Source organism: Homo sapiens, chromosome 9, assembly GCF_000001405.40.
Source record: "Homo sapiens chromosome 9, GRCh38.p14 Primary Assembly".
NCBI lineage: Eukaryota > Metazoa > Chordata > Mammalia > Primates > Hominidae > Homo > Homo sapiens.
This window is the reverse complement of record NC_000009.12, coordinates 117,703,567-117,729,271: the sequence shown is the minus strand read 5'-3', so window position 1 is coordinate 117,729,271 and position 25,705 is coordinate 117,703,567. Positions and strand designations below refer to the sequence as shown.

The 25,705-nt window shown below is 39.1% G+C and overlaps 1 protein-coding gene and 1 pseudogene across 3 annotated transcripts, besides 6 other annotated features; one reads left to right on the top strand and one right to left on the bottom strand.

Moving 5' to 3' along the window:
• TLR4 (toll like receptor 4) lies at positions 4,537 to 24,869 on the bottom strand. Of its 3 annotated transcripts, NM_003266.4 has the most exons (4): positions 24,707 to 24,869; positions 20,954 to 21,073; positions 20,543 to 20,709; positions 4,537 to 16,883 (listed from the first exon to the last, which is right to left on the bottom strand). In NM_003266.4, exons 3-4 carry the CDS (start codon positions 20,680 to 20,682, stop codon positions 14,624 to 14,626), a joined length of 2,400 nt encoding a protein of 799 aa, NP_003257.1. In that variant the 5' UTR covers positions 20,683 to 20,709; positions 20,954 to 21,073; positions 24,707 to 24,869; the 3' UTR covers positions 4,537 to 14,623. The 3 variants fall into 3 exon arrangements, with proteins under 3 accessions (NP_003257.1, NP_612564.1, NP_612567.1); NM_138554.5 differs by lacking the exon at positions 20,954 to 21,073; NM_138557.3 differs by lacking the exons at positions 20,543 to 20,709; positions 20,954 to 21,073.
• RNU6-1082P (RNA, U6 small nuclear 1082, pseudogene) lies at positions 21,170 to 21,276 on the top strand (annotated as a pseudogene).
• Positions 22,984 to 24,183: an enhancer, noted in NCBI's record as "CDK7 strongly-dependent group 2 enhancer chr9:120467367-120468566 (GRCh37/hg19 assembly coordinates)". NCBI's record gives its function as "activates an origin of replication core promoter dependent on BRD2, BRD4, P300/CBP, MED14 and CDK7 cofactors, with strong dependence on CDK7, by STARR-seq in HCT116 cells {active_cell/tissue: HCT116}" and the evidence as "EXISTENCE:reporter gene assay evidence [ECO:0000049][PMID:35650434]".
• Positions 24,248 to 25,447: an enhancer, noted in NCBI's record as "CDK7 strongly-dependent group 2 enhancer chr9:120466103-120467302 (GRCh37/hg19 assembly coordinates)". NCBI's record gives its function as "activates an origin of replication core promoter dependent on BRD2, BRD4, P300/CBP, MED14 and CDK7 cofactors, with strong dependence on CDK7, by STARR-seq in HCT116 cells {active_cell/tissue: HCT116}" and the evidence as "EXISTENCE:reporter gene assay evidence [ECO:0000049][PMID:35650434]".
• Positions 24,299 to 24,799: an enhancer, noted in NCBI's record as "H3K4me1 hESC enhancer chr9:120466751-120467251 (GRCh37/hg19 assembly coordinates)". NCBI's record gives its function as "activates a minimal SCP1, AML or CMV promoter by ChIP-STARR-seq in naive H9 embryonic stem cells {active_cell/tissue: H9 hESC(naive)}" and the evidence as "EXISTENCE:reporter gene assay evidence [ECO:0000049][PMID:30033119]".
• Positions 24,770 to 24,839: an enhancer, noted in NCBI's record as "active region_28888". NCBI's record gives its function as "activates an Ori minimal core promoter by ATAC-STARR-seq in GM12878 lymphoblastoid cells {active_cell/tissue: GM12878}" and the evidence as "EXISTENCE:reporter gene assay evidence [ECO:0000049][PMID:35858748]".
• Positions 24,800 to 25,300: an enhancer, noted in NCBI's record as "H3K4me1 hESC enhancer chr9:120466250-120466750 (GRCh37/hg19 assembly coordinates)". NCBI's record gives its function as "activates a minimal SCP1, AML or CMV promoter by ChIP-STARR-seq in naive H9 embryonic stem cells {active_cell/tissue: H9 hESC(naive)}" and the evidence as "EXISTENCE:reporter gene assay evidence [ECO:0000049][PMID:30033119]".
• Positions 24,850 to 24,899: an enhancer, noted in NCBI's record as "active region_28887". NCBI's record gives its function as "activates an Ori minimal core promoter by ATAC-STARR-seq in GM12878 lymphoblastoid cells {active_cell/tissue: GM12878}" and the evidence as "EXISTENCE:reporter gene assay evidence [ECO:0000049][PMID:35858748]".

Below are 25,705 nucleotides of genomic sequence, written 5' to 3'. Positions count from 1 at the left end.
TTTCCCTCCCTAGAATAAAGAACTTCAGTATTTCTAAACACCTTAAGAGACATTCCAGGCCCTTCTGGGTCTTCCCTGCTGCTGTCCTTCTAATTTTTTTCTTCTTTATCTCACCTTTATTTTTACTATTAAAAACAATTGTAATAATAGGTATCACAAATTTAAGTGCTTACTATATGATGGTGTGCCAATTAATTTCTATTCATCATATTAATGTATTTTATCCCATTATAATTCTCTGAGGCAAACATCTGCAGTATCCTCAATGTACCAGACTAGATGATGAAACTTAGGAACAGAAGGGTTAAGTAGCGTAACCTGCCCCAGGTCACACAGCTTCTATGTGGTAGATCAGTGATTTAGGTCTGTCTGTCACCAAACCCCAAATCACTAATCTTTACCTCATGTATGTCACACTACAATATAGCCACTTGTTTACATGTCTGTCCCTCTGTCACCTAAATCATCAACTCCTACCAAGAGATTAAGAATCATGCTTTTTTTTCCCATTGTTTTTGTCCCTGCTGGAACAGGGTCATGGTGGCCACACAGTATATATTTCCCCAATTTTAACATTTTTTTATTTTAAAAAGAGGAGGGCAATATTGCCAATGGATGGGGTTGATATAAAGATTTTCTTTTTCCTGAAATGGAGTCTTGCTCTGTCACCCAGGCTGAAGTGCAATGGTTCACCCTTGGCTCACTACAACCTCCGCCTCCCAGATTCAGGTGATTCTCGTGCCTCAGCCACCTTTGCACCATGACGCTCAGCTAATTTTTGTATTTTTGGTAGAGATGGGGTTTCATCATGTTGGCCAGGCTGGTCTTGAACTCCTGGCCTCAAGTGGTCTGCCCGCCTCAGCCTCCCAAAGTGCTAGGATTACAGCTGTGAGCCACCATGCCTGGCCTCCCAGTTGTGTTTTATTTTATTGTATTTCCTAGAAGTAGATAGAAGTATGGTAAGAGCTCAAATCTGTCTCAGGTTAGTTCAAATCCTGCTTCTGTGACCTCTGGATTTGTAATGCTCTAAGGTGGGGTTCTTAGCTGCACTGTGCCTAAGTTTCCTATCTTTAGAGTGGAGTAGATTAATTAATTCACTTAAGCACTTTGAAGAGTGTTGTGCATGGAGGAAGCTCTCCAGAAATGCAAACTTATTGTCAGTTGGCTGCCAGATGACCCAATATACTTTGCATACACTTTTAGAAATGTACCCAGGATACTGCTCTTCCCTGTCTGCACAGTTAGACTTGACCCTCCTGAGCATGGAGGTCATACTTTATTTGGATTTTTCTGGCATTCCTCTTCAGGGGCTGGCAGGTAGGATGAGCTCAGTCAACATTTTTAAATTAATAGACAGTGTTCTGGATAATGCCTGTTCTACCATCCACGCTATGGCAGTATAGGGATTCTCAGTTGCCTATTTTTTTTTTTTTTTTTTTTTGAGATGCAGTCATGCTCTCATGCCCAGGCCAGAGTGCAGTGGAGCAATCTTGGCTCACTGCAACCTCTGCCTCCCAGGTTCAAGCGATTCTCCTGCCTCAGGCACCTCAGTAGCTGGAACTACAGGCATGCGCCACCACGCCTGGGTAGTTTTTTTTTTATTTTTAGTAGAGATGGGGTTTCACCATATTGGCCAGGCTGGTCTTGGACTCCTGACCTCATGATCTTTCCGGCTGGGCCTCCCAAAGTGCTGGGATTACAGGTGTGAGCCACTGAGCCCAGCCTCTTCGTTGCCTTTCTAGTTTCCATGCCTATGAGAAATTCATTCTACTGCCCTAACACTTGCTTATCAGCTAGTTACTGAAGCTGACCACATGTTGAGACCACACAGCATGTGTCAAGCACCATGCTGAGTATATGACATCCATCACCCATTTCGTAAAAACACATTGTATTCCACTACCCCAGTGTACTGGGAGACAGCAATGAACCCATTTTAAAACATTTCCCATGGAACTTACAAAGGAGGGGATATCTGTGTACATCCATTTAACATTTTCTACCTCCCAGAAAGCTCAAGTAGCACCTTACTGAGGGTCAAACAAAGCTGAAAAAAAGAGAAAGACTCTGCAGGAGGCTTCTCCTAGGCAGAATATTGGTGTTGCTACCCCAGAACAAAGGCTTTCTGCTCCAAGCCAGCCAGAATCTCCTGGTGAGAAAAGGGCAGGATCCAACTCCAATAGCAAGCCTTTATATCATATCCAAATGCATGTAAAAAAAAAACTCTTGGTTCTTATTCCATATCACAGGTGAAAATAATGGGCCAACTCTCATGCATAGGCGGACTGATGTAGTCAGTTTATGTATCTCCATCTTTATATCTGTCATCAGAGCTGCCAAACAATAAATGAGACATTTGAGGAAATAATCAGCTCTGTCACTGGATTTTTTAGCATAATCTGAACAATCATACTTAGGAGATATTTCAGGGTAGGATTGAAGAGCTCAGCTTTTGGAATTAGGCACATATGGGTTCTAATCTTCCATCTTACTATCTGTAATTTACTAGCTAAGTTGTTTGGATGGATCGGTTCAAACTCCCTTAGCCTCAGTTTCCTCCTCTGCCAAATGGCGATGAAGACACCTGCCTCACAGAGTGGTTGGGAATATTAAATGGGATCATGCACGTAAAACACCTAACGTAGTGCCTGGTTCGTGAAAACTGCTAAAAGACTGTTTCACTTGGTATAAATGGACTTAAGAATGTTGTATTTTTTCATTATTATGATCTTTATTGTTATTGTTTTGTGGTAGTAGAAAGAATCCCTATAGTGGATAGAAAGCTGAGCAGAAGTTTTGGAAATGACAAAAACAAACAAAAAAGAACAAAAATTAAGATCACAAAAGCTAAACCGTCAACAAGAAACCCAAAACATAAAACAGAATCAAGTAGAACTGCTCCAGTTGATTCCTCACTTGATTCTCCACCCCTTTTCCTCCATCTCTCCCCTTTTTTATTATTATTGGTAGAGGTAGTATTATCAATAGAATTTCACTACTGCTACTACCACCACCACCACCACTAGCCTGGTGGCTTCTTCATACAAAGTCAGCATGGTGCAGTGGGAACAGGTAGATCTGGTTCAAATCCAGACCATGCCTCTCACTATCCTTGTGACATCAGGCAGAACAGGAGGCTAACTAAGAGGCAGGGAAGGCCAGGTTGAGGCCTTCACTCATTGGCATAAAAATAAGAGAAGAAGGTGTATGGAGGGGATCATGGCAGAGAGGAGTCAGGACTAGATTGCAGCTCCAGACAGAGCAGCATCCAGAGGCTTGCATTGTGAATTTTAGCTCCAAATTGACTGCAAGAACAAACCAACATTCCCAAGAGGACCCACAAAACCTCTCAAGGAAGTGGACTGCTCCTGCAGGACCCAGAAGACACCCCAAATGCTGTGAGTGGCAAGAGGGAGAGGGATAACAGACTACAAATATGGTGCAGTGTATATTGCTTGGGTGACGGGTGCACCAAAATTTCACAAGTCACCACTAAAGAACTTACTCATGTAATGAAATACCAATACCTTATGGAAAAATAAAATAAAAAATAGGGGAAGAAGAAATTGCATAACTCTGTTATGCAGTTTAACAATTTTGTGGTAACAAGATGATCACTTAACAACAGCTTCTTCAACCCTTATGTTGTAACATTCTAGGATGTTTGTCTGTTTCTTGAAAGGGAGGGTAGGGTCACTCCAATTCTGGGAAAGTTTTTGAAGCCGAAGAACAAGTTGTATTATGTCAAGACTGAGTTATAGCTTCCCAGTGTCACACAGGAAGTTTGTATCAACACCAGGATAAGGACTTGGGCCTCCTAAATGCAAGGCACCACAAACCAGTGGGCTTAATGCTGAGACATTACCTAGGCTTCTGTCGGGCTGTATGCTCCCCATTTCATAATGAAAGCACACAAAAAATTAGCATTTTTGATGACTGTGAAGTGCCTTGCACTGTTTTAAGCACTTTGTTTGTATAAGCACTCATTTAATATATCATCCTTAACTGACAGATAAGCAAATTGAGACATAGTCCAGATAAATGTCTTTGTCAGGGTCAACTGATGCCAATTAACTATTAGCTTTCATGTAATTCAGTATTTATACTATATTGTTTCTTTCCTCAACTCTGCTATACATGGTCTTCTACTTATTACTTCCCAGATTTATCATTTACATTTTTGCTCTTCTTTTAGGTTAAGAATTTAAAGATCCATCTGCAGAGCTGTTCTTTTACAATTTCCAGCTCAAATGGGCCCTCCTCTGTAAAGCCTTCTCTGATTGCTTCTAGGAAGAACAACCCTCCACTCCCCACCACCCTGCATTTTGGCATAACATTGTGTGTGTGTGTGTGTGTGTGTGTGTGTGTGTGTGTGTGTGTGTATTGACATGCCTCTCTTGCCAAAATGAATCTGAACTCCGTAACTTTGAGGGCACTTCTTGGTCATTTACTTCTGCAGCTTCATGTGCCTTTTCAACCACAGAGTAGCTTCTTCATAAATATTAGATGGCCAGATGAGTAAAATAAAGAACACTCTCAAGGAGAAAAAAGAAAGTGAGAACTTTATTTCCGTGTACTGAACTGCCAACAAAACTGAGAGGTAGATATTATCCCCATTTTAAGCCGAGACAAACAAGACAGATACCATAAGACAGGATCAGAACACAGATCTGTCTGATTCCCAAAGCTTTTGTTCTCTCTAATACATGAGAAGAAAGACAGGCACATTAATGGTCACATGCAGAAGCGGTTAATGGAGTTCACAGACAAGAAAGGAAGAAAGAGAGCAAGGAGAAAATGAACATCAAAAAATAAGGAAGTTGGAATACTGACAGGTCAAAGCAGAGAGAAAGACAAGACTTACTAAGCAAGAACTAACTTAGTGCACAATAAGAAAATGCAAAGGAAGGAAGATTGTGGTGACATTTAGAGAGCTTAGAATGGCAACAGAATTGAGCTTCAGATATTTGGAAGAGTTTTATTCAAAACCGTGGCAAGAGCCAGAAAAAGTAAAGGGCAGAGACAAGGGCCTGCAGCAGGCAAGGAGGAAGCATGATTTAGAGACAGATGCCACAGCTCAGGAAGGGAGCGGCTTGACCCTGCTGCTTGGAAAGGGGCATGCCTGGGAGTGCTGGCACTAAGGACACTGTTGGTTGCTATTTGCAGTGGCATAAGGATGAAGGATGATAGCAGCCCTATAGTGATATAAGGGACCATCATGAATGGCATTTCAAGAAAGAAAGCAGGAAGGAATGAGGAACCAGAGTTCTCTGTTTTTATCAATCCACAACTGTGAAATTTATGAAGAAAGTTTACTCTCAACTGACAAGCATTCACATATGGTAAGAGGCACAAGGGGTCGAATGGTACCTCTGTGACTAACAGTGTAGGAGCCTGGGAGATATCACTTTAAATGTCAAGTATGGGAAAGAAGAAAGAATAATTGCAAGGATTAGTCCACAAAAGTGCTTGAGTTTAGAGAAACTGTATTCTTCTCCTTTAAGATAATTAAAACTGACCAAGTATACACATTGCTGAAATAGAGGAGACTCCTGTAAGAATGACATATAGCTTAATTTAAAAGCTTTTGGAATATGTAGGCAAAATGGAAGATATTCTTGAGTTTATAACATGGGGCAAAAGAGAAACTCCTCCTTGGAGGAGTTTTCAATCTGTTATCATAATAACTCCTTGCATTTATGTAGCACTTCCCTAAATTTTATTGGAGGCTCTGTCTCATTTCATTCTCAAAACTTTCACAGAAGACAGCGTAAAAATAACGTTATCTCATAGATAAACAGAGACCAAAGAGCAAAGAGATCAAGAGATTTGCCTTTGTTCAACAGCCTGTTAGTGGTGGAGCCATTTCACTATCAATGTCTTGTTTCCACAGCCTTTCACCTATAACTCAATGGGGTTGATAGCTTAATCCTTTTCAGAAATGAGGGAACATGGGAAATATTATAAATACATGGATACATCATGACTTGACGAATGAGTCTCCCGTTTTGATATAGCATCATCAGGTTTAGAACGCTAAAACCACATGTTAAGGATGCTGGAAAATCTGGATGATGAAGTTACACCTCTAATCATAGAATAGAATTCCTGGAATGGACATTTACTCCAATTGCCACAATTTATAGGTAAGGAAACAGCCCTGGAGATGTGAACATGCTAGAATGTCAGAGAGCTGGCCTGACCCTCAGCAGCCGTTTGGTTCATTCCTTTCTGACTGCCAATCTTTCTTGTGACACCTTCAAAATTTTTCCAAATCTGCATACCTTTTATATAATTCATTTCATCCCGTTTTTTTCCTAAGTTGGCCCACATTTTAAACTTAAATATATTTTAAAGAGATAATTGATTCTTAGCTAGTCACAAAATTTATTATAAATAAAAGTAACCATGAAAATAAACATATAACCACTAAAGGTAATACATTCATCTGTCAACCACATAAAATCATCTTATTTACTAACATGTCACACTTTTGAAAATGCTGATCTGACCTAAATGTCCCATTTTACAAATGAGAGACCTGAGCCCAGAGGTGCGCTCCCGGTGGCAGACCTGAATCCTAAACCTCACTACCTCTATCGCTGTTCACTTATCTGATCTCAGCTGTTAATATGCCAGAAACTGGCAAAGGTATTCCCTGCCTTTAGTGGTGCTAGACTCTCAGGTGCTGAAACCACAGCTAATTCAGCCAAAGATGATGTGTAGAGAGGACTCAGAAGGCCCTATTAATAACTCAGCTGAGCACAGCACTAGCCAGATATTCATCCCCTGCCATTAATTTCAAAAGTGCTCTTTGCAAGCAGGAAAATTTTGACAGCAGGTGTTTCCCACTGGGGAGCAGTAGACTCCTCAGAAGACTCAGGGTCTCAGCTTAAAGACCAAAACTACTGAATTTCAACCGTCAGTGATCACTTCCCCAATTCCCCTCAACGATAAGGAAAAAGGAGTTTCTGGGAAGATTGGCAGTGGCCCAGCAAGTTTTCGCAAGGAAATCCTGTGTTTTTCAGAGGGGAAAGTCATTTTTGGAATCTTAGTACTCAAGGCAAGATGAATACTTAGCAAAAGTGGAGTTAAATTTTACTTTGATATATTTTGGACTGGAAACAAAAAACAACATCACATTGACAACAGATGCCTCAGAGAGTTTAGAAAAGACCACAACATTTTTCTGGTATATATTTATGTGGGGTCTCAGCTACCCAGGATGATAAAGAAGGGAAAATGACAACGTGATAGGTAGAAACTAGGAGAACTAAAATGATTGCATGGACACAACATCTAAATGGATGTAGTGAGCTCACCATCAAATAGGCCAATCCTAGTATCCCAAAGAGTCTGATCTAGTGGGATTGAGAAGAATCAACTATACAGTGTAAAATAAAAATACATTATCTGACCTTGCCTGGGCTATCATGAATCTTAGCAATAAATCTCAAGAACAAAACCAATAACCATATTAAATGTGGGTGGTTATTCTCCATTTTCCATTATAACAGTAATTCCCAAATCTGTCTGTGCACGAAAACTGGGAGAATATTTTAAAATATAAATTCCTTAGGACTAACCTCTGATATTGAACCAGAATTTCTAGCAATAAAGATCATAAAGATAGATAATTAGTACCTAGATACACAGACACATAGATAGCAGAATGAAAGTCATTAAGTGATTCTTAAGCCAAGCATTTGTTTAAAAGTGAGAGTTTGGGACCTGCTCAACTTTGTCATCTTCATATATGGTTTCCATTTTAATCGTTGTATTGAAATAAAATCAGCTGTAGACTGCCTGGAATTCTTTGTCAAAATGAAGTTTGCAAAAAGAGGCTAGAAGAAGATAGAAAAGATGTAAGAGAGAGAGCAAGTGATTTGGAGACACAAGATCAAGGAACCGATCTTGGGATAGAAAATACTCTTCTCCAGTTCCATCCATGCTCTCACTTATGAGTGGAAACTAAATAATTTGTAGACATGGACATGGAGAATGAAATAACAGACATTGAGGACTCAGAAAGGTGGGAAGGGGTTAAGGGATGAGAAAGTACCTAATAGGTACAAAGTACACTGTTCAGTTGATGGTTACGCTAACAGCCCAGACTAAACCATTATGCAATATATTCATGTAACAAAACTGCATTTGCACTCTCTAAATCTATAAAAATTAAAATAAAATTTTCTAACCTTGAAGAGAGTCTTTGTTACCCATCTTAAAAAGAATGAAGTCAGAGTAGAGACATGAAGTTGTCTTTTTTTTAAATAGTTTTTTTAACTCTATATTTTTATATAGTGTCTCCTAGGGAATCCCACAAATAGAAAGAGTGTTTATTCCTTTCTGAGGAGGAGAACAGACCTCCCAGAGTCCAAAGGGAAAGACAAGGACAGTCCCAGGAAGAGGAAGGGTCATGCACTAGCATCTCACGGCCGAGCCCTAGGAAGACGGAGGGGCAAGGTCCTGGGGTGGCTGTGGATAGAGTCAGGCTGGGTTATTTCAGGTCAGTCCTGCCTTGCTTGGCCCATGGGAAATGGGGTGTTGTTAGTATGAGTCAAGAGCTCAAATTGGTAACTGGCTGGTTTTGATTTAATTACATAGTGAGATAGTTTCCTAGGAGCATACAACACAATCCTTTCTCCTAAACGTGAGTTTAATTTTCAACAAAACACTTCTCTCATAAACATCACGTCATTTCTAAACCTTTATTGCCATTCCCAGAACTGCTTGCAGCCTTTCAGAAACCCATTATTTTATAATTATAATCAAGACTATTAGGACAGGACAATTTGTGCCAAAAAGCGCATTTACACTCAGAATTGTCACTTAGCACTGTCACAGGAGGGATCATCTTTATTTCTGTAGAAATCAAGGAGAGTTGCAGACTCTGCCTTTTAAACTTTTAATTTCTAGATGGCATGGGAGTTACTGACCTTGTCTAAATTATTCTCCATTCACTCCACTAACCACCCCTGGCAGAGTAGCCCAGGACATCACAGCAAGCAATTATGTTATGGAAAGAATGCAGCCCCAAGAATCAGGCCAACCCAAGTTCATATCCTGATTCTGCTCCTTCCTATTGAACAATTCAGTCCTTTCATCTGTTTCTTCATCTGTGGAATGGCAAAGCTACAAATACCTGCATCAGAAGGTCATTTTAACAATTAAATGAAATAATATACAACTAAAACGGTGCCAGACATGCACCAAAAGCTTAGCAACTTAAAAAAAATACAGAAGGTGCGGCAAATGTTATTGTGATTAATATAAGCTGTGTGACCTAAGGCAAGTTACTCGTCCTCTCTGGGCATCTCTTTTCTCATTTCTAAAATGAGAAGAGTAGCCTTTAACTCACAAGGTAGCAGTAACGATCAGATGATCACGCATGGTGCTCAATATAGTTGGTTCCTTTTGATCGACCATTTACTCCACAGATTTTACTTTGAGTTGAAAAGTTCGGTGATCTCCATAAGGGCAGCCAGAGTGTGTGATCTTATTCCAACCATCTGGAAAGTCCTAAGCTTTTGGAACTTCCCCCATAACCTCTGTGTTTAATCACAAGTCTGTGATGCCCGTCAGGAAGTCAGACCAACTGTAGACATGATAGAGCAACCCTAGGCATGTTGTTCAAAGAAAGGCCATCATCTAGTGGGCCTGATTTGTTCACTGTTAAAAAATCTTTGATCACATAACTTAGATCACATTTTTCCTGGCTCTTACAGCTGTAATATAAATAAAAACAAGTAATAATAATAATACTTCTCTTTGTTTAATATCAGTCAAAATTATAATGGTGAGATAGGAAGTTTTATGCATTTTGTGAGAGCAGGGTGCTCTTGCCATAGAACAGTATTTAGAAGCCCTGCTTCTGCGGTGAAGTGGACTTAGATCCTAATCTCAGTGCTGCCACCAATGAGCAGGTGACAGTGGACACATGACAGAATGACTCCCAGACTCAGACTCCTCATTTGTAAATTGGAAATACTTTCGTATCTTTCTAATTCATTGATGTGACAAACTGAGATAGCACAAATAAAGCCCTTGCATAAAACAATTGATCAATTAAATGTAACTATTGTAACTATCAACATTATCATTTTAACCAAGTGAGGTCTGCCAACAAGGTATTATTACCTCCATTTCATGAATTAAGACCTGAGCCTCAAAGCACTTGAATGACTTGCCCACAATCACACAAGTAAATGGAGACACTGGCTTAGACTTTGGTTTTCACTCTCCCAGGGAGTTCACTGTCACATATTGTGTGAGTTCATTTAAGCTTCTCCAGGAGCCTGCTGATGATTTCTAAAAAGTTTATAGAGTCCAGAAGAAGACTGGGGTCTGACAATCCCGTGAGTAGAGAATGAATCAGAAAGAAATGTCTAATTTTAGTTACAGTCACTTCTGTGGTTCCACAGGCTGGAAAAATAGCAATTACTTTAGTGTTGTTACTGAGAAGACCTCCCAGTGCTTCTCCTAGTGCCCTCTTAATAAAGTCTTAGGGGAGTACTCACCCATAAGGACAGTGTCCCCGTATTGAACATAATACATGATTTTCAATCCTTAGAGCAACCTTACAAAGTCATAGTTCTATTCTTATTTTACATTGGAGCTAAGTAGACTCTCAGAGAAATGGAGCCCAAGGCACACAGTTGATAAGGAGTGAATTTGAGTTTTGGCTTTCTCCAAAAGCCACGCTACTCAAAACACCAGAAAAATGGAAAGCACTGTATTAACGCTCATTCTCGGTGTCTTTCTCTCCTCTTTTTATTCTATGTCCAGATTTTCTACTTATTATTGATTAACCCTATTGTTCACATATCCTTTGTTTGAAGCTCCTTCAAGTCCTTTATGGAAAGATAGGGTTATAAATAAATCATTTGGTATGTATAACATATATGCATATGTATTGGCTTAATGATTCATGGCTTCAACTGAGAAACCCTTGCTAGTGTCAACCACACAGAAAACTGCAGGAGTTTCACTTCCTGTTTTGCCAACTTTAAGCATGAAGCAATTGGGTGTGGAAGAAAGAAAGTGTCCTTGAGTGACCTGGAGGCCCAGGCTCAGGTTTTGTCACTTTCCTACTCTGTGGGCTATTGAAAAATTTACTTCATTGAACTTCAGCTTTCCCATCAATAAAATGGAAAAAGTTAATTATGATTTGCTACCTTACTCAGCTAATGAGATATTCAAATATATAGTTTTGTGAATATGTTTCAAGTTGTAAGGTATCACACAAATTTAAGGCATTACAATTGGCATTAATTTATCCTTATTCCACCCTTTATCCCTCTTAAATCCAGAGGATTTAAAGAGCTAAAAAGAGGCTGGCTGAGGCCTGACTTTACTCTTTCTTCTCCTTCTGTTCTATGCATATAATTTCTTTCCCTGCTTGTCCACCTCACCTGCCATTTCTAGAATTTCCATCTGGGAGAGGGAACTGATAGGAAGGAGGCCAATGTCAGCCTTGAATATTTCGGCCTTGAAATATTCCAAGTTGTATGTTGATCTTCCTTCTCAGAGCCTTGTACATTTGCTTGAATAAACACACTTATGCAGAATTCATATTCAAATATGAATAGAACCACACTTACATGTAGCACGGATATACACAAAATCATACATTTTCAAGCATACTAAGAAACTGAGGCATACATCTGTAGATAAACAATCATGTATGTATGTTAGTTCCTCACTTATCCACAGTTTCACTTTCCCAGGTTTCATGGTCAGTTATGGTCTGAAAATAGGTGAGTACAGTACAGTAAGATATTTTGAGAGAGAGAAAGAAAGAGATCACATTCACATAACTTTTATTACAATATATTATTATAACTATTCAATTTTATTGTTAGTTATTGTTAATCTCTTACTGTGCCTAATTCAGAAGATGAACTTTATCTTAGGTATTTATGTATAGGAAAAAATATTGCATATATGAGGTTTGGTACCATCTGCGGTCTCAGAGATCCACTTGGGGTCTAAGAACGTATCCACCAAGCATAAGGGATAAGGGGAGACTACTGTACAAGCACAAGAGTAGAGAACTCATCTCAAACAGCCATAGACATCCATTTCAAATGGATGTATTCTTCAAGAAATATAATCACACTCTCTTCTATACAGATATGATCATGCGGACACACACACTTTCAAATACACACAGCCCTGATAGGGATACATAGGGATATGTGCACAAATGCACACATCTACTTTCACTAGTACATGAGACATGGAAACACACCCAGGGATGTTCAATCACCCTAGACCTGCTCAAACCAAACACACTCTGAAACACTCAGTAACAAACACTTCTGACTGTGGTCATATTTCCAGTTTTGACAACTGAATTTTGTTGTCTTTTCTTTTTTATAGCTTCATTCAGACATAATTGATATTATAAAACTGCATATATTTAATGTATACAATTTGATGAGTTTAGACATAGTCACATACCTGTCAAACCATCACCACAATCAAGGTAATAAATATATCCATCACCTCCAAAAGCTTCCTTGTGTATATGTATATGGTAAGAACACTTAACATGAGAGGTACCCTCTTAACAAAATGTTAAGTGCATAATACAGTATTGTTCATTATACGAACTCTGCTATACAGCTGATCTTTAGAGCTAATTCATCTTGCATACTATAATTTTATACCAATTAGACAACTCCCTATTTCCTCATTTCTCCCTTCCTCCTTTTCCCTAGGAACCACTGTTCTATTCTCTGCTTCTATGAGTTTGACTATTTTAGAACCTCATATAAATGAAATCAGGCAGTATTTGTCTTTCTGTTACTTGCTCATTTTACATAGCATAATGGCCTCCGGGTTTATTCATGTTGTCATAAATAACAGGATTCCCCCTTTTTTTAGGCTGAATAATATCCCATTGTACGTATATGCACATTTTCTTTGTCCATTTATTTTTCAATGGAAATTTGGGTTGTTTCCATAACTTTGGAAACAGTGATTGTGAAGAGTGCCACAATGAACATGGGAGTGTAAATATTTTCTTGAAATTCTGATTTCAATTATTTTGGGTATATATACAGAAGTGAGATTGCTGGATCATATAGCAGTTCTATTTTTAATTTTTGAGAAACCTCCGTACTGTTTTTCATAACGGCTACACCATTTTCCATTCCCTCCAGCAGTGAAGAAGGGTTCCAATTTCTCTATATCCTTGATGACACTTCATTTTTTTATAGTAGCCATTCTACCTGGTATAAGGTGATATCTCATTGTGGTTTTTATTTTCATTTCCCTGATGACATCCTGATTGTCCTTTTCTTGAATGTTCTGTTTCTGAGGAGGCTGGATGAACATTCTTTTCTGGGAACCTTCTTTATAAGAACCCCATTAATTCCAGACACATTGTTTTCTCAATGATAACATCCACTCTTCCCAAAATGTGGTCAAGGAGCATTGCCCAACAGGAAACAGCAATGTATACTCCCTGCCTTGAATACCTTCACACGTAGTTCTCCTGGCAGTGAGAAGGGTACAGGGGAGGGATCCCAGCCATCTGTGTCTCCCTAAAGAGATTCAGAGGTCCATCAAACATCACTTGTTCTGAAAAAAATAAACTTCTGCTGCAACTCATTTCATGAGGTCACCCCGGGTTTATCAGCCCATATGTTTCTGGAATCAAGAAAAGGTGACCTCCTGAGGTCATCCCACTTCCTTCCTGCCTCTAGCCCAAATTGTCCATGATAAGACCAGGAAGCGGAAATTTTCTTCCCGTTTAAAAGAGTGCCCCCTTTAAACAAATTATTTCAATGCTGCTTTCATGACAGTCATTACTTAGTAGGCAATAACTTTGGAATGACATCGAGTGACAAAGTGACAGAGTGTACTTTTCCATACTTCCTTGAAAAATAGTGGTTAATATGGATATTTGAAGCACGTCTTAAACAACCTTATTTATGATATTAGCTTATAGGCAAGACGTAAAAAAATGAAAACTGGATATATAAAAATAAAAATATATCAGGGGTGATTAGTTAAAAAATAGAACATGCTCGAGAATGACCAGGATGGTTGTGAGCATGTGTTAATCAGGTTTCCTTAGGAATTAGCCACTAGACTTTAACCTCTGTAAGGAGACAGACTTAAAATGGAAGGGGCATCTTGCATCAGGAGCCCCTTGACGACTGCAGTCATCAAGTAGAATTTAAATTGTATTCAATCAAAAAGGAAAAAGTGAACACCCAGTTCAGTCAAAACTACCAAAATGGTTTTATGATGGCTATAACATAATACAATTTCCATTCAAAAGACTCAGGAAAAGAACAATGTCTCTTTCTGTTTTCTCTGTCTTTATTCAACTTGATGAGGTAAGAGTTGAAATGACTTTCTTTGTCATGGGTTCCTTGACTGAGTTGGTTGAAATGCCCACCTGGAAGACTCTGTATTTTAGTCTAGCATTTATTCCCTCTGCACTGGAAGCTCCTTGAGATTAGCAGCCCTGCATATCTAGTGCACCATGGAATTACTCACCCTTAGCATAAGGCCTGACATGTGGCAGCATTTAATACTTATTAACTGAACAAGTGTTGGACCCAGCTGGGCAAGAAATGCCTCAGGAGGTTTTTATTTTTCCTCTTCAGATAGATGTTGCTTCCTGCCAATTGCATCCTGTACCCACTGTTCCTTCTGGATTCCATGATTTACCATCCAGCAGGGCTTTTCTGAGTCGTCTCCAGAAGATGTGCCGCCCCAGGACACTGTCCTCCCACTCCAGGTAAGTGTTCCTGCTGAGAAGGCGGTACAGCTCCACCTGCTGCCTGAGCAGGGTCTTCTCCACCTTCTGCAGGACAATGAAGATGATACCAGCACGACTGCTCAGAAACTGCCAGGTCTGAGCAATCTCATATTCAAAGATACACCAGCGGCTCTGGATGAAGTGCTGGGACACCACAACAATCACCTTTCGGCTTTTATGGAAACCTTCATGGATGATGTTGGCAGCAATGGCCACACCGGGAATAAAGTCTCTGTAGTGAAGGCAGAGCTGAAATGGAGGCACCCCTTCTTCTAAATTCTTTACTAGCTCATTCCTTACCCAGTCCTCATCCTGGCTTGAGTAGATAACAAAGGCATCATAGATGTTTTCACCTCTACCATACTTTATGCAGCCAGCAAGAAGCATCAGGTGAAAATAGAACTTATAGACCAGAACTGCTACAACAGATACTACAAGCACACTGAGGACCGACACACCAATGATGGTCTTATTCATCTGACAGGTGATATTCAAACTCAGCACAGGCATGCCCTGCTTATCTGAAGGTGTTGCACATTCCATTCGTTCAACTTCCACCAAGAGCTGCCTCTGGTCCTTGATCCATTGCAGGAAACTCTGGTGTTCACAAGTACAAGCAAAGTCATTCTGAGTAAGATTTAAGAAAGCTAGACTACTTGGAAAATGCTGTAGTTCCTGTTTTTTGGAAGTCATTATGTGATTGAGACTGTAATCAAGAACCTGGAGGGAGTTCAGACACTTATAAGGAAACGTATCCAATGAAAAGAAGTTGTTGTGGCTCATATTTAGTACCTGAAGACTGGAGAGTGAGTTAAATGCTGTTGGAGACAACTGCTCCAGTTGACACTGAGAGAGGTCCAGGAAGGTCAAGTTTCTCAGCTCTGTGAAGATATCTGGAAGGAAGTTTTCCTGGAAAGAATTGCCAGCCATTTTCAAGACTTCGAGACTGGACAAGCCATTGAAGATGCCATTGAAAGCAACTCTGGTGTGAGTATGAGAAATGTCAAGGTAAATGAGGTTTCTGAGTGATAGGAATACTGAAAACTCACTCATTTGTTTCAAATTGGAATGCTGGAAATCCAGATGTTCTAGTTGTTCTAAGCCCAAGAAGTTTGAACTCATGGTAATAACACCATTGAAGCTCAGATCTAAATACTTTAGGCTGGTTGTCCCAAAATCACTTTGAGAACAGCAACCTTTGAAACTCAAGCCATTTCTACTGAGATCTAGAAACTCAAGGCTTGGTAGATCAACTTCTGAAAAAGCATTCCCACCTTTGTTGGAAGTGAAAGTAAGCCTTTTGAGAGATTTGAGTTTCAATGTGGGAAACTGTCCAAATTTACAGTTAACTAATTCTAAATGTTGCCATCCGAAATTATAAGAAAAGTCTTTTACCCTTTCAATAGTCACACTCACCAGGGAAAATGAAGAAACATTTGTCAAACAATTAAATAAGTCAATAATATCATCGAGGTAGTAGTCTAAGTATGCTAATCGGAATTCTTCAATGGTCAAATTGCACAGGCCCTCTAGAGCAGATTTGTCAAACTTTTCCAAGTTTCCTTCATTTCTAAATTCTCCCAGAACCAAACGATGGACTTCTAAACCAGCCAGACCTTGAATACAAGTTTTCATTACATTTAAACTATCAAAATTATTTCTTAAAGTCAGCTTATGAAGCCTAATTTCTTTAAATGCACCTGGTTGGATAAAGTTCATAGGGTTCAGGGACAGGTCTAAAGAGAGATTGAGTAGGGGCATTTGATGTAGAACCCGCAAGTCTGTGCAATAAATACTTTGAATCTTGTTGCTGGAAAGGTCCAAGTGCTCTAGATTGGTCAGATTAGAAAAATACTCAGGTAATTTGAAAGATTGGATAAGATTGTGAGCCACATTAAGTTCTTTCAAAGTTTTGAGATGTCCAATGGGGAAGTTCTCTAGAGATGCTAGATTTGTCTCCACAGCCACCAGCTTCTGTAAACTTGATAGTCCAGAAAAGGCTCCCAGGGCTAAACTCTGGATGGGGTTTCCTGTCAATATTAAGGTAGAGAGGTGGCTTAGGCTCTGATATGCCCCATCTTCAATTGTCTGGATTTCACACCTACAGGAATAAAAAGACATTGATTATCTAATATTTCTGCTGAATAAGAACCTAAAATAGAATATTAATCCTAGTCATCCAGCTCTTCATACAGATGTGATGGGTCATATGATTGTGCATAGGCAAAGACATCAAGCAGGACAGATGATGATGGAATAAGCAAATAAGAAGCCCCACAGACTGAGTATTATCATACTGGCTGCAATGATAGGCTCTTTTTTGTCATGTTAGGCATACATGATAAGCAGAGGAGAAAATCCATAAGAAGGAAATCAGTTAAAGATCAATAATTGACATATATAAAGATTGTGCAGTTGATAAAGCATGTAATAGCCTTGGATCAAGTTTAGCCATTTTCTGTCACACAAAATTGTGATTATACATCTGATTGGTACAGATAATATGGATAGTTGTTAGTTGGTAGCCAAGATAAATGACTGGTAAATATCAATTTCAGAGATACGAAAAATTACACATAAGTGTCACAGATACTCTTAATGTTTATGAAAAGTGCTTACATGACAGCTAGATATTTGAAAGTTCTTGTTATCAGAGGTAAATGCTTGTAACAGGTGATAGGAGCGAGTTTTGTGGAAAAAAGTGAAAATTATGTGCTATAAGAGTTCACATCCAGAGAACCGTTGTGGACCAAGAAAATCAAAGTAGGTTTCTCTGAGAACACTTAAGTTGAAAATTGAAAGATGAGTAGAAGTTAACAATAAAAGGAGGTGAAGTGAACAGCAAACACAAAAGCCCCAAGGTTGACAGAAAAAAAATGACACAAGGAGGAATCATGACAAATAGCTTCCATGGTTGGAGAACAGAGATGAAATTGGAGTGTACAATATGGAGTTGTGGAGAAAGAAGGTTCCCAATTAGGCAGAGGTTTACCAACCAGATAAAGGGTTTTGAATTTTATCCTAAAAGAAATGAAAGCCATGCTACACACAATGTTCAGAGACATGTCCTAGAGACAGGGCTTTGATGCAGCCAGCAAACAGCAAGCCAATGAAAAATTCCTTTCAGCATTGCAGGTGCTTGTCAGTTACAATGTACAAATAAGTTCTTTCTTAATCCAGCCTGAATTACATTTACAATATTCCCCACCCATTTTATTTAGCTTCTTCAGGAGTTTCCTAGACAATAAAAGCATTGTGGTCCAAGCTTTTGTTATTTATTGGTAACTAGATAAAGGATAGGCAGTATAGTAGAAAGAACGCTGGAAGAGTGGACAAAAGAGCTTGGGTTTGGTGTTTCTGCAGTCCTCTCCTACTGTGTGATCTTGAGTACCTCTTTTCCTCTCTAGGTTTTAGTTATCACATTTATAAATCAAACAGCTGAACTTGATTATTTTTGAAGTTCTTTCTTTCAATTATATGATTGTTATAGCCCATCATTCTATCTCTGCATTGCTCTATACATTAGGTGAGAAGGAAAGGGTCTTGCTGTGTCTCTATATCATTACATTGGTGATAATCACTTTAGAGAAGTAGAGTATTAAGACAAAGAAAACATTTAAGTTGGATTCTGGAGATGTGAACTTAAATCTCTGGTCTGTGGCTAACAAGCAATGATAATGTATATAAGTCATTTAAATTATTCAAGCTTCAGTTTCCTCACCTATAAAAAGAAATATATATATATTTCTATAGGGGAAAGAAGGCTGCCTGGTCTATCACAAAGCATTCTTACAAGACTAGTTGAGTTACTGTATGTGAACACTGTACGAAAAGGCAAAGGATGTCTATTGTGCTATCTTTTGTGCTTGCCCTAATTCAGAATCTCCTATGGGTTAACAAGAAGGGAAGCTGGCCTCTCTGTAAGCACAGATTTAAGGTTTCTGGGGCAAGTTTATTGGGTATCCAGTGGATTGAAGATGAATTACATAAGAGACATTGTTTGGTGAAAAACTACTTCTTGTTTGAAAAAAAAAAAAAGGGAGAGGTGGTCTACCTTAATAGAGTACTTGACAAAATTTTCATGCAGGAAACTGAAATTTAGAACATAATGGCATAGATGCAGCTAGTAGCCATTATCCTAAGCAAATTAACAAAGGAACAGAAAGCCAAATACCATGAGTTCTCACTTTATAAGTAGGATCCAAACATGGAGTACACATGGACATAAAGATGACAAAAATAGACCCTGGGGATTACTAGAGAGGGGATAGAGAGAAAGCAGCAAGGGTTGAAAAACTAACTATTGGGTACTATGCTCACTACCTGAGTGATGGTATCGATTGTACCCTACACCTCAGCATTACGCAATATAACCATGTAAATCCCTGAATCAAAAATAAAAGTTGAAATTATTTTAAAAACCTAATGAAATTCTGTAAGAATACTTTATGCTTATAAAATATATTTTATAAAAATTTAAATATATACAGCATATTAATATTTATTATCACATTTAATCCAGCAGAATAAGTTTCATCATTTCCATTGATCAGATATGAAAACTAAGATTAAGGGAGATGAAGTAATATGCCTAAGGTTACATGGTTATAAAGGTTGGGGGTAAACTTGGCTCAGGTCTTCTGACCCCAACAGGACTCTATGCACTATACCACTGCCTTTGAATTGTTCCATTACTCCTTTGTTACATCCTATCTATATCCAAATTAGAGTATAATAGGTCGTATGCTCACTCTTCTACAGAAATGTCTGCTCTAAAAAGGATTTTTATACTGTGACCTTAGTCTTTATCAATAATTTCTATAATAAAAAATATGTAAAATGTTTTGAAATGTTTTACAAACCATTGCAGAGAACATGATCCATTATCTAGTTCGATTTGCAAATAAGGCCCCGATGATGAAAACCCTTTTAGAATTTGGTTCCCCTAAAATATCAAGATGACATTTCACCTGCCACAACAAACGATATACTTCCCTGCATCAGAAAAGAAAATCTTAGCCATTATTCCCTGCCCACAGCAGATGTTTTCCTTTAATCTTGACATCTTTCTCCTTGGGTTACTTGTCTTTTCCTAATTCCCTATCCTGTACACTAGTTTTAATATTCTAGACATTGTTTGAATCTTATGCAGTTCATGAAATCTTTCTTGACTACCCACCACAGAGAAGGCCCCTCTTCTGAAAAATACAATTAGTTACCTTTAGTTTAAACATAATTTATCACCTACTGTTATATGTCGCTATCTTTATATCAGTTTCCAGATCCAAAAAATCATAATTAAAATGTGTTGACTATATACTATGTACCCAGGACCATACCCAGGACTTTAAGGTATTAACTCTTTCAAGAAGATATGCCTCCTTAACAACAGGGGCTGTGTGTTATATATCAATATATGCCTGTCTTCTTGCAGAGTGTACAACATATAGCAAGTAGTCAATAAATAGCTGCTTATGAAAGAATTTAAGCTAATTTTCTCTCCTGTCTTAAAAGAAAACCTAAAATTAGAATTGCCCTTAGAAGCTGTCTCAGCCAACTGCCTACTTCACAGATTAGAAAACTGAGACCTGGAGAATAGAGGTAGCTTGCTCAAGGTTATATAGTTAATAAGACATCTGTTGTATGAATGAATAAGTGAATGAAGATGAGACTCCACAAACCAAGCTTTCCAGTCCAATAATGAAATGACAGGACAATGAACACCTCACCTTGTGCAGTATGTAAAAGTGGATTCATTACCTGGATAAATCCAGCACCTGCAGTTCTGGGAAACTGAAGAAGCTATAGCTGCCTAAATGCCTCAGGGGATTAAAGCTCAGGTCCAGGTTCTTGGTTGAGAAGGGGAGGTTGTCGGGGATTTTGTAGAAATTCAGCTCCATGCATTGATAAGTAATATTAGGAACCACCTGCAATGATTACACATGACATGAAGTATCTTTACTGCATGGTCTCCCAACTCCCCTCTCCTAGACCAGAGATGGTGGAGAGGGGCCTCTTTTTGTGCAAGCACAAAATTCAGTCAACCTTTCATCCATCTGTCCATCCTTCCATCCATATATCCATCCATCCATTCACTCAATTCATGCTTATAAATTGTCTTACTCTAGATTAGAAAGTAAAGAGCACCTACTACGTGCTCAGCATTCTAACCTCCGTGATAAAACGGCAGCATTTAGCAAGAAGCAATGGAATCGGGGTGAAGGGCTGAGGCTCCGGAGTCTGAAAGCTCTGGGTTTCATGCCAGCTCTTCTGTGTGGTTTAGGGCCAAGTCTTTAAAAACAAAACAAAATAAAACGAACAAAAGAAAAACCTCAGTGAGCCTCATTTTATCATATGTAAAATGTAGGTAATAAAATATCCAATATCGTGCTTGCTGCAGTAGCACATACACTAAAATTGGAAGGATACAGAGAAGATGAGCATGGCCCCTGCACAAGGATGACACACAAATCCATGATGCGTTCCATATTTTCATGATCTATGCAGCAAATCACCATGGCACACATTTACTTATGTAATAAACCTGCATGCTCTGCACATGTGCCTCTGAACTTAAAAGTTGAAAATACAAAAAATAAATAAAATATCCAGTATCATTTTAAATACTCCATATCATTGGGGAGACTGTCTGGCAGTCAAGATGTCCAGACCTTCCTTAGTCATGGCCCAGATTTTGACAACTGCATTCTTTTTCTTGGCTCATTGACCCTTGAGCAAAGTGATGTAGAAATAGGGGGAAATCTTTAGAGTGCATGGATTCCCATGGTGGAACCTAGTAAATAAGGTCAAGTGCTTTATGCTGTCTTTGTTTTTACACTGCTTTCTAGCCTACTTTCCCACATTCTTTGTAAGCCTAATTCTCTAACGCTCCCATCTAATTTCTGAATGCTCTCATTTCCTCCAACAAAATTCCTTGCAGAAGCCAGCTAATTGTAGTTTTCTGTTGTTTGAAACCAATAGAATGTTTGAAGGATTAAATGAGATAAGGTGTTTAAAGAGTTTATTTAAAAGCCCGCTACAGTATAAGTGATCAATAGATGTCAACATTAATTATTATCATCTATCATTAATCCCTTACCATATGCCTGCATAGTTCTTGTTTGTTATATACTTTCACTTAATCTTCAAATAAGCATTTAAAGATGAGGAAAATGGAAATTCAAAGAAATGAAGTAATATGCGCAAAGTCAGAGTTCAAACATGCAGATCTTCATTCGTATGTCTGCTTAAATGTTGCAAGCCATGGAGCCTCAAAGACAATATTGTCTAATAGAAACAGTGCCAGGCACTCTTTCTTTGCCCTCTTTTATTCCCTTTCACGGGAAGCACAACCATCTAACATTATGTTGTCTATCTGATTGTTCTCATCGTATTGTTCATCTCCTGTATTCCATTGCAAGTTTGATGGGTTTGCCCACTGCTTTGTCTCCAGCACTCAGAATGGTGTCTGGCAAATGGTTGGTGCTCAATAAATATTTGCTGAATCACTAACTGATTGAATAACTGATTAAATGAAGGTTTACTTAAGTCCAAATTGTAGGCATTTCCTGCCAAGTGCTGTGGGCATTACAAAGAAAAATATGATGCAGCTCCAGACTTCAATGGACTCACAGTCTAGAGTAAGAGTTTAGATAGGAGCAAAGCTAACACTATCTCAAGGGGCCATAAAATAGGCTTAGAAAATATGCCCTGTGGTTCAGAGAAAGCAGAGATCAAGTCTGGATTCAGGAAAGGCTTCCCAGAAAAGGAAGATTTTAAAGTGGGTCTTGGAAGATGAGTAAGGTTTAGATATGTGGAAAGGGGAAGAAAAACATGTCCTAAGGAGAGGACAACGTGAGCACGTAAAGAGTGGAAAACAAACTCAGATTAGCTGGTGAGTGGTGGGAGTGGTGAAATCTAAGTAAGAGGGCAAGCCAGATCAGGAGGGCCTCAGACTTTGTCCTGCAGCAATTATTTCAATCATTTATCACTTACACATCTAGCGGCTACTGTGTGCTGGCCACTGGAAATATAGTGGTAAATAAAACCAGCAATGATCCTGCCTCCTTACCGATTCCATTACAAAGGGAGAGAGAGAAAATAAACAAACAAAAATATAAAATGTTGTGCTCTAGAAAAAAAAATATTAAGCAGTATAAGGGGATTTGAGGCAAATAAGTGAGGCTGGAGAGCTCTACATGGGGCAATCAAGGAAGACTGCCCTGAGGAGGGGACATTTAATCAGAGATCTGAATGGAGTGATTAAAGCATGAAAAGGACTTGGGCTGCACTGACCAATACGGTAGTCACTAGCCATACACAGTTATCAAACACAAGAAATGTGAATAGTGTAAATTGAGAAGTGTGGTAAATGTAAAACATATACTAAATTCCAGACTTAGTACCAAACAAGGAATGTAAAAATATCAATAATAGGTAAATATATATTAAAATTTTAAACATTATTTTAAATACGCTAAGTTAAATAAAACTATTATCGAAATTAAATTCACTTGTTTCTTTTTTTAATGAGGCTACTAAAAACTTTAAAAGTACATATGTGGCTCACATAATATTGCCAATGGATAGCACTGATCTAGCATTCTAGGTAGAAGAAATAGCCAGTGCAAAGGCCCTGTGGTAGAAAGCTGTTCTAATGGCAATGGAGAGTTATTAAAAGTTTTTAAGGAGAGTAATTTGTTAGATTGAAGCCTAAGGAAAAATAATAACAACAAATGCAAGTACATAACAAACAAGAACGTGCAGAATGAATTAAAGGAAGAAGACTGGAATCAGGAAAGCAGTTAGTGTGTAAGAGTCAATGCCAGGGGAAATGAGGGCCTGCCTTACAGTGGAACTAAGGGGATGGGCAGGGATGGACAGGCTTCAGGGACTGACAGGAAAAGGTACATGGGGAAAAGAAGTCAAGTTTGGCTGTGGTTTTATCTCGCAGTGAGCCTAATTAGAAAATCTATCTCCATTAACCTAACAGCAGAGGGATACAGAGAAGAGGACAAGGAGGAGGACTATGGGCAGGGAATTGAGGGAAGGGATGGCTTCAAGATAATGAATTAGTCTTTGCTAAATATTACTTGATTTTCTCCTATATCCTCAACTTCAGGACTGCAGCTGGCTTTTTCTCTCTTGAGTTTCTGACCCTGCCTCACTGTAAATCATTTTCTTAGCTGTTCGGCTCTACTATGGGTTTCTAAAGCAACTGTGAAGTCTGCGCAGGGGAAAAACAAAAGAGATCCATCATGAATAAGATTACCAACCAGCTGATTGGTATTTCACTAAGAAAGAAACTGTTGCATTAGCTGACATTATACATATTTCCCTCTTGCTTTTTTCTTCTCTCTCTCTCTCTTTTCCTTTTTCATTCTCTTATTTTTTTCATCCTCTGGACTAAACTATATTACTGCATACAGAAGTCTGACACCCACTTAGAAAGTTCTTTCTCTAGAGACACACACACAAAAGCCATCTTTTTCCTGAGATTGAAAGGAGCAGGGTGACTGCTTGAAGCTGAGTGTAAAGACCACCAGTGGGAAGAAATGACACTGAAGCAGTCTGCTTACTCTCTAGTGAAGAAGGTATTATAATTCTCTTACAGATGCGAAAACTAGTCTCAGACAGGTTTGATAATTTCTTCACAGAGCCACAAGGTAGCAGAGCAGGGACCTTAAGCAGATCTATGTTATCTCATGCCCCTGTTAGCACTCAAAATTTCCAAATGGAACAAACCCCCAATGGCTGCCTCTAGTGCCCTGTAACAATGAATTATTTGATCTCTGTGGCTTCTTGAGTCTTTAAGGTAATTTAACTCTTTTTTTTTTTTGCAAAAATAAACAAACCAGGGCACACAGTGAGAAGTTCTGGGCAGAAGTGAGGGAAAGTTCAGAGGAGCTGACTCCAGCCACATACCTCCACGCAGGGCTCCCAGCTTTCTGGTCTCACGCAGGAGAGGAAGGCCATGGCTGGGATCAGAGTCCCAGCCAGGCGCGAGGCAGACATCATCCTGGCATCATCCTCACTGCTTCTGTGAGCAGCAGTGGCCCTGTGAATGCGTGGCTCGCTATCACCGTCTGACCGAGCAGTTTCTGAGGCACTGGTGTCTTCTCTTCCTCGAGCCGCCCCACAGCAATTGGTGTATTCAAAGCAGTTCTGGGCTAAAGGGTGAGAGGAAGTGAAAGCGGCAACCTTAGCATTCTGGACTTTTGTTTCTCTAATAGTTATCTCTTTTGTCACAGGAGAGGAAGTTAGAAGAAGAAAACGCCTGCAGACCAGTGGCTAAAGAAACAGCAAGAGGAAGCTAGTTGGCTTTTATCCCAATTAGTCATCTGACCTCTGCCTGGGCTTGGTGAATTTAGGAAAACAATCAGGTTCTATTAAAATAGCCCTTGTAACTCTCTAGGATGACGGTGATTTTCCAATTTTGTTTCAGCTGTGGAAACACTATTTGTATTAGTTTGCTGGGGCTGCCATAAGGAAATACCACAGACTGGGTGGCTTAAACAACAGACATTCATTTTCTCACAATTCTAGAGGCTTCCAGTCTGAACTCAAGGTGTCAGCAAGTGTGTCTGAATTCTAATCTCCCCTTCTTATAAGGACACCAGTTATGTTGGATTAGGGCCCACCATAATGACCTCATTCTACCTTACATACCTCTTTCAAGGCTCTCTCTCCATATACAGTCATAGTCTGAGGTAGAGGGGTTAGGACTTCGATATGTAGGTTTTTGCAGGACACAATTTGGCCCGCCCCTTCTTGTGAAGAAACTCACATACAAAACTGAAAATAAACCTCAACTGAAACACAGTTTGAAAAGTACAAGAAGATTGGGAAAAGTCTGGGATTTCAGAATGGAATATACTGAAGTTCAGATCTCAGCTGGGTGACTCATGGCTTTGAGGCATTGGT